At 54.7% G+C, this 15,154-nt stretch overlaps 1 protein-coding gene and 1 long non-coding RNA gene across 2 annotated transcripts in view, besides 6 other annotated features; one reads left to right on the plus strand and one right to left on the minus strand.

Moving 5' to 3' along the window:
- SCUBE1 (signal peptide, CUB domain and EGF like domain containing 1) overlaps positions 1–15,154 on the minus strand; it is a 146,093-nt gene that overhangs the window by 55,454 nt on the left and 75,485 nt on the right. Inside the window, exons 5-6 of the mRNA NM_173050.5 lie at positions 9,987–10,112; positions 5,486–5,602 (exon numbers count right to left, since the gene is read on the minus strand). Of these exons, the coding sequence (NP_766638.2) occupies positions 5,486–5,602; positions 9,987–10,112 (243 nt within the window). The remainder of the gene's footprint in view (positions 1–5,485; positions 5,603–9,986; positions 10,113–15,154) is intronic.
- LOC124905129 (uncharacterized) lies at positions 4,582–10,990 on the plus strand. The gene is made up of 2 exons (XR_007068120.1): positions 4,582–4,826; positions 6,848–10,990. It is a non-coding gene; the product is annotated as an uncharacterized LOC124905129 (long non-coding RNA).
- Positions 10,673–11,872: an enhancer, noted in NCBI's record as "BRD4-independent group 4 enhancer chr22:43659412-43660611 (GRCh37/hg19 assembly coordinates)". NCBI's record gives its function as "activates an origin of replication core promoter dependent on BRD2, P300/CBP, MED14 and CDK7 cofactors, and independent of BRD4, by STARR-seq in HCT116 cells {active_cell/tissue: HCT116}" and the evidence as "EXISTENCE:reporter gene assay evidence [ECO:0000049][PMID:35650434]".
- Positions 10,673–12,285: a biological region, named in NCBI's record as "BRD4-independent group 4 enhancer GRCh37_chr22:43659412-43660611".
- Positions 11,079–11,358: an enhancer, noted in NCBI's record as "active region_19189". NCBI's record gives its function as "activates an Ori minimal core promoter by ATAC-STARR-seq in GM12878 lymphoblastoid cells {active_cell/tissue: GM12878}" and the evidence as "EXISTENCE:reporter gene assay evidence [ECO:0000049][PMID:35858748]".
- Positions 11,284–11,785: an enhancer, noted in NCBI's record as "H3K4me1 hESC enhancer chr22:43660023-43660524 (GRCh37/hg19 assembly coordinates)". NCBI's record gives its function as "activates a minimal SCP1, AML or CMV promoter by ChIP-STARR-seq in naive H9 embryonic stem cells {active_cell/tissue: H9 hESC(naive)}" and the evidence as "EXISTENCE:reporter gene assay evidence [ECO:0000049][PMID:30033119]".
- Positions 11,379–11,428: an enhancer, noted in NCBI's record as "active region_19190". NCBI's record gives its function as "activates an Ori minimal core promoter by ATAC-STARR-seq in GM12878 lymphoblastoid cells {active_cell/tissue: GM12878}" and the evidence as "EXISTENCE:reporter gene assay evidence [ECO:0000049][PMID:35858748]".
- Positions 11,786–12,285: an enhancer, noted in NCBI's record as "H3K4me1 hESC enhancer chr22:43660525-43661024 (GRCh37/hg19 assembly coordinates)". NCBI's record gives its function as "activates a minimal SCP1, AML or CMV promoter by ChIP-STARR-seq in naive H9 embryonic stem cells {active_cell/tissue: H9 hESC(naive)}" and the evidence as "EXISTENCE:reporter gene assay evidence [ECO:0000049][PMID:30033119]".

Below are 15,154 nucleotides of genomic sequence, written 5' to 3' on the forward strand. Positions count from 1 at the left end.
CTGGGCTGCTCTCCCCACATAGGGACTGGCTCTGAATGTGATGCCCTGGTGCACCTGACCAGCATGGGGCAGGATGGGAACGGTCACCTCCCTTACTCTCCATACCTCGCCTCTATTAATACAACGTGGGGGCAGGATGGGAACGGTCACCTCCCTTACTCTCCATACCTTGCCTCTATTAATACAACATTGGGGCAGGATGGGAACGGTCACCTCCCTACCTAACTCTATACCTTGCCTCTATTAATAAAACGTGGGGGCAGGATGGGAACGGTCACCTCCCTACCTAAGTCTGTACCTTGCCTCTATTAATACAATGTGGGGGCAGGATGGGAACGGTCACCTCCCTACCTAAGTCCGTACCTTGCCTCTATTAATACAACGTGGGGGCAGGATGGGAACGGTCACCTCCCTTACTCTCCATACCTTGCCTCTATTAATACAACGTGGGGGGCACCACACCTCATCAGGAGCTACTGGTTGGGGCCTGAAGTCCAACAGGATCCTATGTCTTTACCCCACAGGCTGTTCTTAGAGGAGATGGTGCTAAGAATGATGAGCTCGTGAGAGAGGGGCTCACTTGTGCTCTAGACTTGAGGCCCCCGGACTGACCCTTCTCAGAAGCCCGGGTCTGGTTCCTAGTTCAGGGGGTGAGGCCTTGGCTATTGGCTCTCCCTTTGCTTCGTGTTGGAGGAAACCAGAGGAGGAGAAGTCTCTTCTGTCTGGGGCAGGACAAGCTCTAAGGGGTGGTATGGGAGGATTCTGATAATCATAGAGGTGGGGGTGCAGGGGAGGGTCCCCACCCAGATGCCTGGCACAGAGATCTCCTTGATGTGTTCCTTCAGTCTGCCTCCCAAACCCAGGCTGAGGCTACCTGCATTCTCAGGGCCTCCCTCCTCACCTCCTGACCCCACTCCGGGGTCTGGTTCTGGGCCTTTATCCACTGACTCTCATTATTGCATGCAAGCACAGAGGCCCTCCTCCCCCCGCCTGCACCACCCATTTACGTGATGCCAACACAGCGCGGCCCTCTTCCACCACCCATCCTCTTCCTGGGAAGGTCGCGGGGTACCTAAGGGGCCCAGCTCCTGGTCCTGCCTGGCTCTGGAGCTCTGGCCTCAGACAGTAGTGCCCGCTTCTTGTAAGTGAGACCGAGGGCCCTGCCCTGGGCCCTGAGACCTTAGAGTGGCCTCAGAACACTGACGACTCTGGGGCTCCCTCCACCTGCCTCCAGCCACCCTTCCAGAAAGTCCATAGCACTGACTCATGCCTGCCTGGAGGGCAGTGGTCATACCTGTTGGCTGGGGCTGAGGCTGGAGGCTCAAAGCCAACCCAATCTGCCATCTCCAGCTCTTCCCAGGCCAACCCGGACTGCCCAAGTCAACAAGACAGACCTGTCCAGAGAATTTGAGGAGAACTAGCTTCCAGCCTGAGCTTGCCCTGTCTGCCTGTGTGACCAGAGGTGAATGCTCTGATCTCTCTGGCCCTTACTCTTCTCATCCGAGAAAGAGGGCCACACCTGTCCTGTCTAGCATGGACTTAGGGTCATAGAGCACCGTCAGCCAGACCCATGAGCTCCTCGAAGCCCCTAAGGAGTGGGCAGGCCTGAAGCCTCCTCAGCAGCACACAAGGCCATATCCCCTGTGGCCCTGGACCTCCCTCCTGCTTCCTCTCTAGATGCCTGGGTCCCCCTGAGGTCCGCATGAGGGCCACGAAACAAAGCCACCTCTCTGGGACCTTTAGGCTCTGACCTTCACATGGCCCTGCAACCCTGATGTTTGAGACAGCCCACACGGTCAGGACTTTTGGGTAGAGCTCAGCCCTGCAGGGTGGTGTGGGACTTTGGGCAAGCCAGGGCACCCCAGAGAACCTTAGCCTCTTCCTCGGAGAAATGGAGACCGCGCTACCTGACCCCATAGCTGCAAACACTGGTGTGAGCTATCTGAGAGCCATGAAGAAGGTCGTGACAACCCTAGGCGACCACAGCTACGCTCAGGAGGTCTTGGGCAGCTGGCAAAGCCCAGAGGCCAGCAAAACAGCAGAACCGACTGATAGAGAAGAACGAGTAGATGAGGAAGTCTGCTTTCCACTGTGCACGCTGAGCTCTGTCCAAGAGCAGTGATTTCTCCTCTTCCTTCTCGTTCTCCTCACATCGGTGCCTGATCAGCCCTGCCAGCAGGCCTCCCAAAACACCTTGAGCAGCCTCTGAGAAGTAGGTGGCTTTTTCCCTGAGAGGTCCTGGAGGTCCTGGCCGGTAGCTTCCCTCCCAGGAGTGGAGATGGGTAAGGACTCTCCTGCCCTGACCCGTCTACTCAAATGCCCTCTTTTGTGGCTGAGTCTCAGTGCTGCTTTGCTGAGCCTGGGAATCCTAACTGTGAATGTGGGTGTTCACGCAAGTCGGGGAGCTTTACGACACACGTCTCCTTACACGCACAGGCCAGTGGATACTAGCCCTGGGTTCTTTGCTACAAACACACAAACAACGAACAAATGTGTTTGATGGAGGGTAAAAACTTTAAAAAGGAAAAAGTGAGTTCACACCTGGAGTGGAGCCCCCCGCACTCACACGACACGCAGGACTGCACACACGTGGGCACACCCCACAACACAGACATATGCCCCCACACGCACACGTCACACCCACACACAGCACACACACGCCCATGTCCACATGCCAGTGCGCACCCGAGACACACATGTGCACACACACACACAAGTGCAAGTACGACAAAGGAAGTGGAAGAAAAGTGTTACCCATGAGTAGCCGCCGTTTCACCCGCTTGTCCACATCAGCTACTGACGTGGCATTGAACTGAGAGCGCTCAATTGCAGCCTCATCCTTCTCTAAAACACAAGTAAGGGACAAACACGGAGCCAGTGGTTAATGACAGCCCACTTCCCGCGGCCCAAGACAGTCAGCCTCTCGGCGTGGCGCACGCAAAGCCAACACAACACGCCGGCCAGCTCGGCATCCTCGCCAAGGGGCTAATCCCAGGAACCTCCAAGGTGGGGGTGTTCAGGGCAAAGCAGAGAGGCAGCGAGGGCGGGGGCGGGGGGACGTGCAGGAAAGGAGGAATGACCACAAAGTGACCTGGGACACAGAGGGGACTCAGGGCCCATGGGCAAGCAAACAGAGAAGGAGGCTGAGGTCAGGGCAGACGGGATTCGTCCGCAGAGAGCCACAGAAGCAGAAAGCACCACCATGGTGCTTTACGGAGACACAAGTGATTACAGACCCCCGTGGCTCAGGCTGGAGAGGCAGGCACAGGACAAGGCACAGGACAAGGGGACAGGGCCACAAGGTCCGGTGATGGATGCATTGAGACAGCAGAGGCTCCGTCACAGGGACGTGAAGGGGTGTCAACACTCATGCAAAATTAAGAACAAAACATAGGACACACACACGCACACACATAATGGATCCAATAGAATAGACACAGAAAAACCACGGGATCGATTTGGGCAGCGCTGGTTGCCTGCTTGTCTATAGAGGACTAGGGCTAAACATTCAAGTGCTCAACAAGGGGATGCAAAGAGGGATCACTTATTTTAGGAGCATGCAGAGGAGAAGTGGCCCCGAGCTGGCCAGGGAGCATCCTGGCTATGCCAAGAGGCTTCCTGTGGAGGGGCAGGTGAGGTTAGCTGGGTTGACTTTCTTTGCTCAGAGGGAAATATGCGGAGACATTCGTTCCCAAGGGGGACACAGATGAACAGTGGGCGAAGGCAGGTGAAGGCATCTCTTCCTGGACAGGAGTAGAAGTAGCAGCAGCAGGGGCTGGGTAAGGAAGGTGATTTCTAATGAGAGGGGAGGGAAGGTGGGGCTGGGGAAGTTAATTTAGAAAGGAGATCCAAGCAGGAGCCTTCACATGCAGTAGACATCAAAAAATAAAAAAGCAAGAAAGGATGATTCAGGTGGACAAGACAAGATGTGTTAGACACAGGCTGGGTGCGTCTGGCCTGGCAGCCGTTTGCACTGCCCCCGGGCCACAGAGCTGGCTCCAAGAGAGGTGGCAAACCCTGCGGAAGACCTTGAGCAGACGAGACAGGAGGGAGGCTGGGTGGCCCGGGAGAGCCCCAGGCCGGACAGTGGAGGGAGAGAGGCCGGAGGAGAGGAGGTTCTAGATGGGATCAGGCTGCAATAGAGACACTGGTCTGAGACCGGGTTTGGCTTTTAATTCTTTTTTAATTGGTTGGTTGATTTGGTTTGGCTTTTGGCTCTGAAAATAATTAATGAACATCAGTTATCAGACAAGACAGGCAATCAGGGACCATCACCAGAAAAGCAAGAGAAATGAGATAAAAATGAAATAAAAAATGGTTGTCTGAAAGAAGAGACCACACAGAGGAAGGGAGAGCCACCGCAGGCAGCAGAACCCATGATGACAGCCCCGGACTACAGAGGTGACAGCCTGGTGCCCGCTCGGGCCCTGCTCCCTGAGACCCAAGGGAACAGCGTCCTGGGAGACAGAGCAGGGGCACACCCTGGCCTCATGGGCTTCTGTCTGCTGACCAACCCTGTCCTGTCCCCTGAGTCTCCCTCAAGAAGTATCTTCCAGATTGACGATAAGAAATGGGGCTTAAAAAAAAAATAACTGACTTGTGTTGGGTTTCTAAAGTTTGCCTGCACAGGAAGGGTTGAACTCCGGCACCAACTTTGAAACTCCACCCTTTCTCAGTTAAAAAATGTGCTGCTATTTTTAAGTGGGAGAAAAAAACCTACTAGTGATTATGGCATGAAATAATCAGAAATATTCAAGCTTCCCCTTGGAAATAGGGACCAGGAGGAAGGAGGTGACGGAGACTCAGATCAAGACTCCACGTGACAGGTGAGAGACGGGCTGGGGCAGCGGCGGGAAGAGCGGACTTCAGGTTGGGAAGAAAGGCCAGCAGGGGCCCAGCAGCTTGGAGAGACCAGCAGTGAAAACACCACACCCACGCAGGGCCCACACTGTCCATCTCCCCTGGAGTTTAGACAATGACCACTCAAAGCAAAGTTCTGAGGAAACCTCTTAGTTTTCCAGACGGCTGTGGGCAGCTCCCATGACTAACGTGGCTGTGTGCAGTTGCCTGAATCTGGCTGTCTTCCATATTAGGGGAGGAAACACCTGTGCTTCTGGAACAGAAGGTCTTAGGTGCATACACCTCCCTTCTCCCCACACACACCCTGCCTGGGGCCACCCCTCACTTCCAGGACGAGGACGTGCAGAATCCCTGCTGCTAGGGAGCCCACGTCAGGCGTCGCCAGGGAACACAAAGCAGAAAAGCCTGGTCTTGGGGGGCTGCAGGCCCCAGAGAAGCCTCCCCAGAAAGCCTCCCCAGGGGCGCCGGCCATCCCCGCCATTGCCATGGGCTTGCCTTTCCTTGTTTCCCTGAAGCTTCCTTCCGGGGAACCCGGACGTGGCAGGGTGCTGGCCCTGCTGGTGCACGCATGGGGGGTCGGGGGCGGGGGGCGCAAGGGTGGTGTGTGGCAGAGGTGCCTACTTACCGATGCACGTGCGACCGTCTGAGTGGAGGGCGTACTTCTGGTGGCAACCACACGTGGGGCCTGTGTCTGTGTCCTCACAGCTGTGCTGGCAGCCTCCGTTTCCATAATTACAGGTTACTAGTTAGGCCCAAAGTGTACACACGGGTGTATAAACAGAACAACAAAAACGGTTAGTTTGCCGGTGTTGGCGGCTGCCTTCAGGGTATGGGGAAACTGAGGCCTAAGGGCATCAGTGGGTAGGGTCATGAGGCTCGCCGGGCAACGGGGGAGCATTTCCCTGCACTTCAGCCCCTCCAGGGACCCTGGAGTCACTCACTCCCTAGAGCTGAACGGGGGTGGGACAGAATGGACTTGGGGTCGTCTGGGCTTTGATCAGAGCAGGCACAGAGGTGATGCGCTCAGATGGTGGTAGATGAAGACAGCTTCATCCTTCTCAGACTGCAGGACATTTTATAGCTGCCTGTCTTGATGGGGCAAATGTTTGCCAATGCCAGGACATACTTGTCAAGCTGTCGGGGGAGGGACATGGCGGCCCGTGGTTCCAGGTGACCCTCATTTCCTTAGTTCTGGCAGAGCTTTCCTTCCTCTGCCTGTCTTGGGGTGTGTGGATGTCTCCACGGAGGTCCCCCCTCAGAGTCCCAGGGGCCACCTCAAACTCTATCCCCTCAAAGCCCTAATCCTCCGGGAGCTCGGCAATGTCCGAACAGACAGACTCATGCAAGTTAATGTCATCTGAGGTACGGTTTTGAAAATCACCTAAATAATAACCACGTTACATTGTTTTCGATGCCTGTGGCCTGGAGGATCTGGTGCCTTTCAGCCCAGAATCCCAGGATGTTTCACAACATCAGCAACCTGGGTTGGCTGAAAAGGGGGCAGAACAGAAAGGAGTCTGAAGTAGAAAAAACTACAAATTCAAGTTTATTTAAACACATGGTCCATTTCCAGGGTGAGAGAGATCGCTAGAGGGGAGCAAGGTGACCCAAGTGCTCCCCAGGGGGTGCAGGGCCCCTGCCTTTTGATGCTGGCGAGACAGCTGCACGCCCATCATCCGAACGCAAATGTGCACCAGGGCCTCAGTATGGGGCGTGTTCTTGGATACTTTAACCATCTGTCCAGAATTCAAGCTACACTCTAATTTATTTGGCAAAACCCTAATGATCAAATATGCAAAAATAAATCTCAGACCAACTATGGTTAGAAGGGGCAAAAATCCCAAATCCTGAGAATTTGAATGAATTACGTTCTATTCGGTTGACCCCTGAGCACAGCTGGTACCAGAGGGAAGTCAACTGGTGGCAACTCCCAGAGAAGGATCTCAAATGTTTCAGAACTGACTTCTCCGCACTCTTCCTTTCACAGAGACCGACGCAGAGCCTTCCTGCCCACCTGTCCTGAGTGATGGGGCACCTCAGCCTTGGACACATGCCGTCTCCACAGCGGGCGAGGAGGATGTCAAGAAAATGGCTTGATATGGGGACAGGTGTCTGCTCAGTGCCTCAGATGCTGTCCGCTGCAACCAGAGGCTCTAAGAGGCTGCTCCCTCTTCCACAGGGAGCTGAGGACCATCCAGAGGACGGAGCTGACTTCTAGGGGGAAATTTCAGGGACCTGAAAAATGCTTCCAGAAACACAACTGGGCTTCAAGCACAAAGCCCTCCAGCCTCTTCTCCTCAGGAGTGACTCTTCTCCAGGGTGGAGCCGGCACCCTGGATGAGAGCTCAGCTTTCATCTCTCAACAGCTCACCTCAACGGCCAGGAAGGAACCCAGGGAAGCCAGGGATTCCGGGAGGCTGCAGCTCTGTGCAGATCTCAGGCGATGGGGAGAGACCCAGGTGGAACCCACTTTGGGCTGGACGTCGTGTGTCTTTCTAGGACCCAGGAGATTCCCGTTTCAGAGTGGGCAGGGGTGCAGCTGGGGAGAAGGCAGTTCTTCTTGAGCTCCAGGCTCCTGGAGACAGGCTGTGCCCCAAAAGTGACTCTAATGAGGATGGAGGCCTGCCTGAGGCAACTCGAAGGGGATCCAGGCTCAGGGACCCTTGTTCCCTCCACATAGTCATTTGTGCGTCTCACAGACCCCCAAAGGTCGAGCCTTCGAATACCGGAGAGTCTACAGCTTGTACACAGAGATGTCTGAGCTCAAGCTCTGGTGAGACGGATAGAAGGATGGAGAAAACCTCCTCTAGCTCCGGCCCTGGAGTGGGTCCTGGGCTCTGGACGGATGACAGCTTGGTTCAGAGCCCTGCAGTCCTCTTGAGCCACAGAGGCTGCTTGGCTAAGCCAGGCCTCAGCCCCCAACCCAGCTTGAGATCTGGAATTTCCTGGAATGCAAGTGACTTCAAGGACTAGAGCGAATGCCTCAGAGCTAACTTCTCACCAACCTTGTCTCATTAACCTCACAGAAGCAGCCAAAGCTGGGCTCGCTGGGCAGCTGCCTGTGCAGGCCCTTCACGGGAGGCCTCAGGCCCCAGAAATCACATCGGGCTCTCCATACCTTGGTGATATTCAGCCACCCACGGAGAGGGTGGGACTGCTGTTTCTTAAGCCAGCACATATTCCAGGCAAGGGTTGAGCCCTTCCCTGGCGGGGGCAGCTGGGGTGAGGGTTGTGGGGGGTGTCCTAGCTGCTCACAGGGCCCTGCCTAGTCCCTGACCTCTCGCACCAGGCTGGCGCTCAGAAGATGCTCTCTGAGCAAACTCCTCCTTGTAGTGCTTGTGTCAGATGTACTATGGGGTCAGGGAGCAAGCCGCCCACAGTCAGGCCACCTGCAGCCTCTCCCTGGCACTGGGCTCAAGGCCCAGTTGGAGCAGGCCCTCGGCCTGTCTTCTGCCTAAGAGAATGCACTGTCCTTCTGGCCAGGGCTATCCACAACCCTGCTGACGCCATGCATTTTTGACCTTGGCCTTTCTCGTGAGGAAACTCAGATCACACAACACGGGGGACTGGGAAAGCTGGAGTCAGCATTTCTGTTCTGAGGTGGCCGGGGGCAGAAGACTTCTCTGCAGCTAAAGGAATCCATCTGGTGTGGAGACGGGGCCTGGATGGAGCCCTGGGGCTGGAGGCTGGCACTTCCAATCGAGACTGCCCGTTTGGTCCTGCCCTGGGTGACAGTATACAGGCTTATCTTGGCCACCCCACAGGAAAGAGCCAGGAACACAGAGAAAGGTGGTCCGCCTCTTGGACCATACCTGGGACAGAAGGAAGCACCTTCACTTTGAAGAATGGATGAATCACATCTGGTACACGTGGGTCCCCAGGGCCTTGGTGACTATTCTAGGAGACCATGAGTTGGGAAAGGTATGGCAAGGCACCCACAGGAGAGCTGATGACAACTGAGAGGATCAGTGACTGTGGATGATGGACCAACAAGGGCCAGCTGTCCTCTCCACAGAAAGATGGGTGGAAGAACGGTCATTTTCTTTATGACAGCGGGGCAGCCTCAGTCTCTCATTTCCACAGCTAGGGTGAGGACCACCTTCTCTATTGGGAGTTGGAACTGGACACTTCTCCCTAGCATTTTTCTGCATTAGAATGTGGGCTTGATATGAGGCACTTGTCTCTTGCCAGAGATGGAAAGTGCTTCCAGCAGTCTTCTTTGGCTCTTTGTAAAAAGGGCAAATATGACATCGCTTTGGGTATCCCTGGTGCCCTCATCTCCCACGAGGAGAGGCCCACCCCACCATCTCCCCCACGTAGCTGTGGGGAGGATGCACTGGCTCCCAAGCTTCTGAGTTCAGCCATCGTTCTACTTGGTTTCCTGGCTCCTACTCCTACTGGGGAATGGGGTGACCCCATTAAGAGGCTGGACTACACGTGGGCCCCGTAGGCAGACCACCAAGCAGATCCTGAAATGGTGTCTTTGGCCAGAGGCCTCATTCAGCCCAGATCTCCCAGAATATCACCATCTGCAGTTAGCCTTGCAGGGGTCAAATTGTGAGTTCTGATCTTTACATTTTATTTTAGAGATGGGGTCTTGCTGTATTGTCCAAGCTGGACTCAAAGTCGGGCTAGAGTGATCCTCTGGCTTCTGCCTCCCAAGAAGCTGGGACTATAGGTGTGCAGAGTTCTGATCTTTGGTCCCGGAAAAAAGGTCAGCACAGCCCGGAATGGGACCACTTCAGAACCATACTCTTTTCCTTCTTTGTACTACTCATTACCAGGGGCTTCCCAGGCCCATCGAGAAACCTGGTCCTGTAGACCTCTGTGCCACGGCCCCACCATTCCTGCTGGACAGCTTAGGCTCAGGGGCTGCCATAAGATCCAGCCCAGCTCCTGGGGCTACACTGGTGGTGTCGTGCTTGGTGCGGAAAACCCCAAGGCTAGGGTTTACAACCCTTGTCCCTTATGCCCTATCAGGCCCCTTCCACAGGCCCTGCCCTTCTCTCCACCCCATGGGGCTGGGGACCCTCCCTGGCCAAAGTCCAGCAGACTGGACAGACCCTCCAGAAAGTAATGGCAGGAGACGCACGGGACGTTTGACCCATTTGTCTCCCTCTACCTACGTGTGCAGTCCTTCTGGTTTTGGGCAAGGTCAAAGCCGGGCCTGCAGTCGCAGGCCACCCCACCTTTGGGCGTCTCCCGGCAGATGTGGGCACAGCCATGGTCTTTGTTCATGCAGTTCATACCCTCTGGGAAGAGAGACAGACAAGAGACGGGTTGAAGACCAGGCAGAGAGGGAGAGAGAAAATTTCAGGCTGAAAGGGGATAGCCAATGATATGTAACAATCAAATGGGCTGTCATTGCATGTATCATGCACACACACGCACTTGCGCACACACACATATGCGTGTGTGCAGCAGCCATCTACATGGATATCCCTTAGGGAGAAAGCAAGGGCACGGTGCCTGGGTCTAGATTCAGGCTTTGCTCTGTGAGTTGCACTGTAAATGGCACCTCGTGACCCACGGAGACCAAGCTCTTGCTCTAGGTCAGATTGTGGGGCATGGTCTGTAGAACTACTTTTGTGTCAGGGTGATTTGCTCCCCTCTCCCGAGCCACCCATGGTTCTAGGGTACCCCCCACCCGCCCAGCAGACTGGATCTCCCCTCTCTGTCTGCCTGGAGTGGCTCATACCCCCTTCCGTTGACCTCAGTTGATGTTTATCTTCCTGGTGATTTGTGAGGCGTTTCTAGAATTTATGAGGTCAGGGGTCAAGTGAGAGGTTGTAGGTCACAAGTCCATCAAGAGGCCAAGGCAGATGAAAGGGAAGCGCCTCTGTCTGCCAACCCACCAGCTCTGTGACCTGCCTTCCACCTCCACCCACAGGAAGCTCAGGCAGGAGTGAAGCCGGCTCGGGGAGCGGCAGTGAAGGCTGCAGACGGCGAACACGCACAGGGCAACCTCCTTCCCCCGGGACACACCGGCCTCTTGTTCCAAGGGAGGACTGGCTCAATCCTGACCCCGTCCACTTTAAATACGGGTATGCAGCAACACAGAATAGATTTAAGAACACAAACACCCTGCTAGTTGTAATAAAGACAAAAACGTCTAAAGTTAAAAATCAAACAAACAAATGGAAATGAGGAAGCCTGCATTTTGCCCGGCACTGTAACTCCTGGTTTCACCTGATTTTGCGACTCATATTTCCTCACCTTGATTTTCTCACTAATCAATCAAATTGTTGGAATGACGCAGAGTCTAACTAAGCAACGAGTTAGCACGGAAAGCGCTTTCATGCTGCTGCCCTGCACAGAAGCTGCAAGTTCACACGGAAAGACCCTTTCCGCTGGCTCGATTCCAAAACAGCATCAGCGCCTGAGTCACACAGATAGTGGCGTGCGGTCAACGCTTAACAGCCGGCAGGGGTGGAGGCTGATTTGCAGTATTTACCAATTTACGTGGGATAAATACGCCAGCCACGGCTAATTTCAAGGTACCAGGGAGATGTCGCCAAGGGTAGAGCTGGGAACAAATGTGCACAGTTGGCTCTCACAAGCTGAGACAAGCCAGCCATAGCACGTCCCTTTCTTAGAAAGGTCGTTGTAAAGTCAGGCAGATGTAGGTGTGAATCTGGCTTCCTTCCTGGCTGTGGCCTGGGAGACAACTGCTTCCCTTTTCTGAGCCTAATCTTAGAAGGGGCAGGATCACCTCTGTCTCACAGAGGAGCTGTGCAAATTAAATCCAGTTACAGACAGGAAATGCCAGGCAATAAGAGACGAGGTCTGTCTGTGGGGGCACTGGCTCTTGAGGCCGGTGTCTCTCCTGCAGGTCTGGAGACAGCGTGGCTCCTCCCTGGGGCCTGGCTGGACCGGGTGGCCAGAGGCGGCTCTCGGTAGAGAAACCTTCCCAGGCTACTGAGACATATTCAGTCCCTCATCAGGTCCTCTGGGAGCCTCCTGCCCTGGTAAGGGTTTGGCCAGTGGGTGGTGGCCAGCAAGCCATCTCCCTGACCGTTACTGACAGCTGTTGTCGGCGGTGGGCTGAGTCCAGGGTCGCCCCCTTCATCCCTGTTCATTTGGCTTCCATGGCTCCCTGCTGTTCCAGCTTCTTCACAGCTGTACACACTCCACGGTTCGCCATCCCACAATGCCTGCTGGGCAGCCCCCGAGGGTGCTCCATCTCCCCTTGCTGCTCCTTCCTCCTGGGCCGGACACCCTCTCCTATCTTCCATAAACTAAATCCTAGGCCTGCCTCAAACTCCACCAGTTCCCCAAAGCCTCCTGGCTCCTGCCTTCTACTCCCTGTGTCTCCCCATGCCACCACCCATGTGAATTTCCTAGGGCTGTCCTATGGCCGGCACAGGAGATCAATGCTGTAAGCAGATCTGTGCTTTCTTCCTGAGCTGGGAAGAGCCCAAGGGCCCTTGTTTGGCAAAGGCTTATAGATGATGAAGAAAGGGAGATTGAATTTCCATTCCCAGCCAAAGAATCACAGTTTACAAGAAGCCTTGCTAATCATCACCAACCATACATTTGTCACTGGGGAGCTGATGCACGCCGGAGCCCTGGGTAATGGAATATTAAGCCCTAGAGGTCTTTCAGTTTTCTCCCTCGTCGTGGACTTGCCATCAAGTGATCTTTCTTCTTGAGACTCTAAAGACTTTAACACTGAGCCAAGATGTTGTTGTTTTCTTGGTGAAGGACACTTTGGGGACGTACTCTAGCATGACTATGGACTGCAGTAACCCACAGTCAATAAGACACTAAGCAACAGAATCGCAGAGCTGGGAAGGGTGAGCCCCAGGCCCTATCTGTAGTCAGCTGGTCTCAAAGGTCTCTACTTTACCTCTCAACAACTTGGGGAAGAGGGTGGAGCCCTTCGTCTCCCACCTAAAGACCCTGAGGTAGAACTGAGGTCCTGTGATTAGCCATCCTCACTCAACACCCCACGGTAGGCCCCCTGCACGCTGCCTCTCACCCAGCATCCCCAGCACGGGAGCCCCCACTGGCTCTGCAACGGAGAGCAAGGGACGGGCCAGTGATTGTTAGTGGGACTGGCTTCAGGACCTCTTTACATTCCTGACAATTATAAAGGAGCCCAAATCGCTCTGATGGACGTGTTTATGTGTTACAGCTATCGAGACTGGCTAGATACTACAGAGAGAAATTTACATTTACTTATTAACTTATTTAAAAACAAGATAAAAAACTTGTTACATGGGGGTGGGCATGGTGGCTCACGCCTGTAATCCCAGCACTTTGGGAGAGCGAGGCGGGGGGAATCACCTGAGGTCAGGAGCTCGAGACTAGCCTGGCCAACGTGGTAAAACCCCGTCTCTACTAAAAATACAAACATTAGCCAGGTGTAGTGGTGCAAGCCTGTAATCCCAGTTACTTGGGAGGCTGAGGCAGAAGAATTGCTTGAACTCAGGAGGTGGAGGCTGCAGTGAGCTGAGATTGCGCCATTGCACTGCAGCCAGGGCGACAGAGTGAGACTCCATCTCAAAGAAAAAAAAAATATTACATGTTAGCACAAGTCATATATTTGTATTAAAAGCTATATTTTCCAGAACAAGGAGGGTGCCCTGAGATGCCCCAGTCAGGCCCGCGCGAGCCAGGCTCACCCGCTGCATGGTGAGGCTGTGGTCAGGCTGGAGTCTGCTCAGCTTGAGTGCTTCTGAGGCGCCTCCTCCCCGAGAAGGGTGGTTGGGGGAGCATCACTATCACATTTCAAAATGACCCTACAACCACTGCAAGGATGGCTGCTACTGCCTGGCCTGGGGGCTGACTGTGGCTTCCGAAGCACTCATCAGCTCCTCTGTCAGCTGCATTGCTTTCACCTCCACTCACGGGCAACACTGGCTTTTGGAGGCCACAAGCAGATAGGCTCCGTGGCTGGCGGAACCACAGAAGGTCAGGGTTGGACCCCTCCCTGCAGCGCATCTTGTCTGTCTATCTTATAGAGACAGAAAATGAGCCCCTGAGATGGGAAATCAATGTCCCAGCACATACAGCAGGGCTGGAAGCTGGGCCACTGGGCTCCCAGCCTAAGTTCTCCTACCTTGGGGTCACTCGGCTACACCTGTGGGACCCAGATGGCTAATAGGGAGCAGACGTTTCCTGGGGGGAACCGATTTGGGAACCTGGTGCAGAGTGGGCGACTACACGGTGCCTGTTACTGGCCACTGTTTCCAGACGTAAGAGCCCAGCGAAATCCAAGGCCAGTTCAGATGCTACGTCCCCTGAAGCTCTCGGAGCAGCCCCTCCACGAAGCACATACCCTGGCTCCTCTTTTGACCTTCCACGGCTGTTACTGGCAGGCCCTGAGTGTGAGGACAAAGCCTCCGCTCCCCTGCAGCACAGGATGTCTGTTTTCTCGGCTGTGAAATGGGGATGTAATAATCTTTGCCCCTGAGAGTTGCTGGGAAGCTGAAACGAGGTGACAATATCGAGGGAGACACAGGGAGGGTCTTGGTAGAGCAAGGCTGCTACGACAGCACTCCTATCTGCCCTTGCTTCATTCTGCCTCGTAGGAAATCGGAATAGTTGCTTCCGTCACACTCTTTCCTGCCAACCGTGGGTAACCCGTTGGGGAGACATGAGCTTCATTCTTTTCAGTATCACGAGTACCCAGCACAGGGCCTGGCACAGGGTTAGGGATCTGCAAACAGTGGGTGAAAGAAGGAAAGGGAAGAATGAGTGGGGAAAGAGAGGGGAGAATGGAAAGGGAGAGAGGAGGGAGCAAGGAAGGAAGAAGAGAGAAAGAAAGCCCCCTATTTCGGAACAGATGAAGCGGGTTGTCTGTTATTTTAGGAGGCAAGGCTAGAATTTTGAAAATGCTCTTATGGCATCCCTAGCTGCGTGTGCTAGAAACACAGCGCTTCGGATGCCTGATGTGGGAAATTCGCAGCACATGATAAAGGCTCTGAGAAGTCCTGCGGTCCCTGTGGAACAGTCCCTTCCCCCTCACTTAACACAGCATGCTGGACAGGAAGAGACCCCAGCACTAGCAGGGTCTAAGGGTGGCCCATTCTAGCTCCTCACCAGACAGATAAAGCAACAGTGACACAGCGACCAGGGTGGCAGGCTGGGGCAGGGATAAGGCACTGGCCCCACCCACTGGAGCACCTGCGGTATCCTCTGTGCCTCCGAACCTCAGAGGGAGAGCGGGTGGCATGCCCTCTCTGCCCTCTCCCAGAGGGGCCATCTGAGGGCAGTGAGCTAACGGGAAGGAATGCCAACTCATCCCCTCCTGCAGGTGGTATCTCTGGGTGGCAGCTGGGGCCATGAG

Source organism: Homo sapiens, chromosome 22 (assembly GCF_000001405.40).
Source record: "Homo sapiens chromosome 22, GRCh38.p14 Primary Assembly".
NCBI classification, from domain to species: domain Eukaryota; kingdom Metazoa; phylum Chordata; class Mammalia; order Primates; family Hominidae; genus Homo; species Homo sapiens.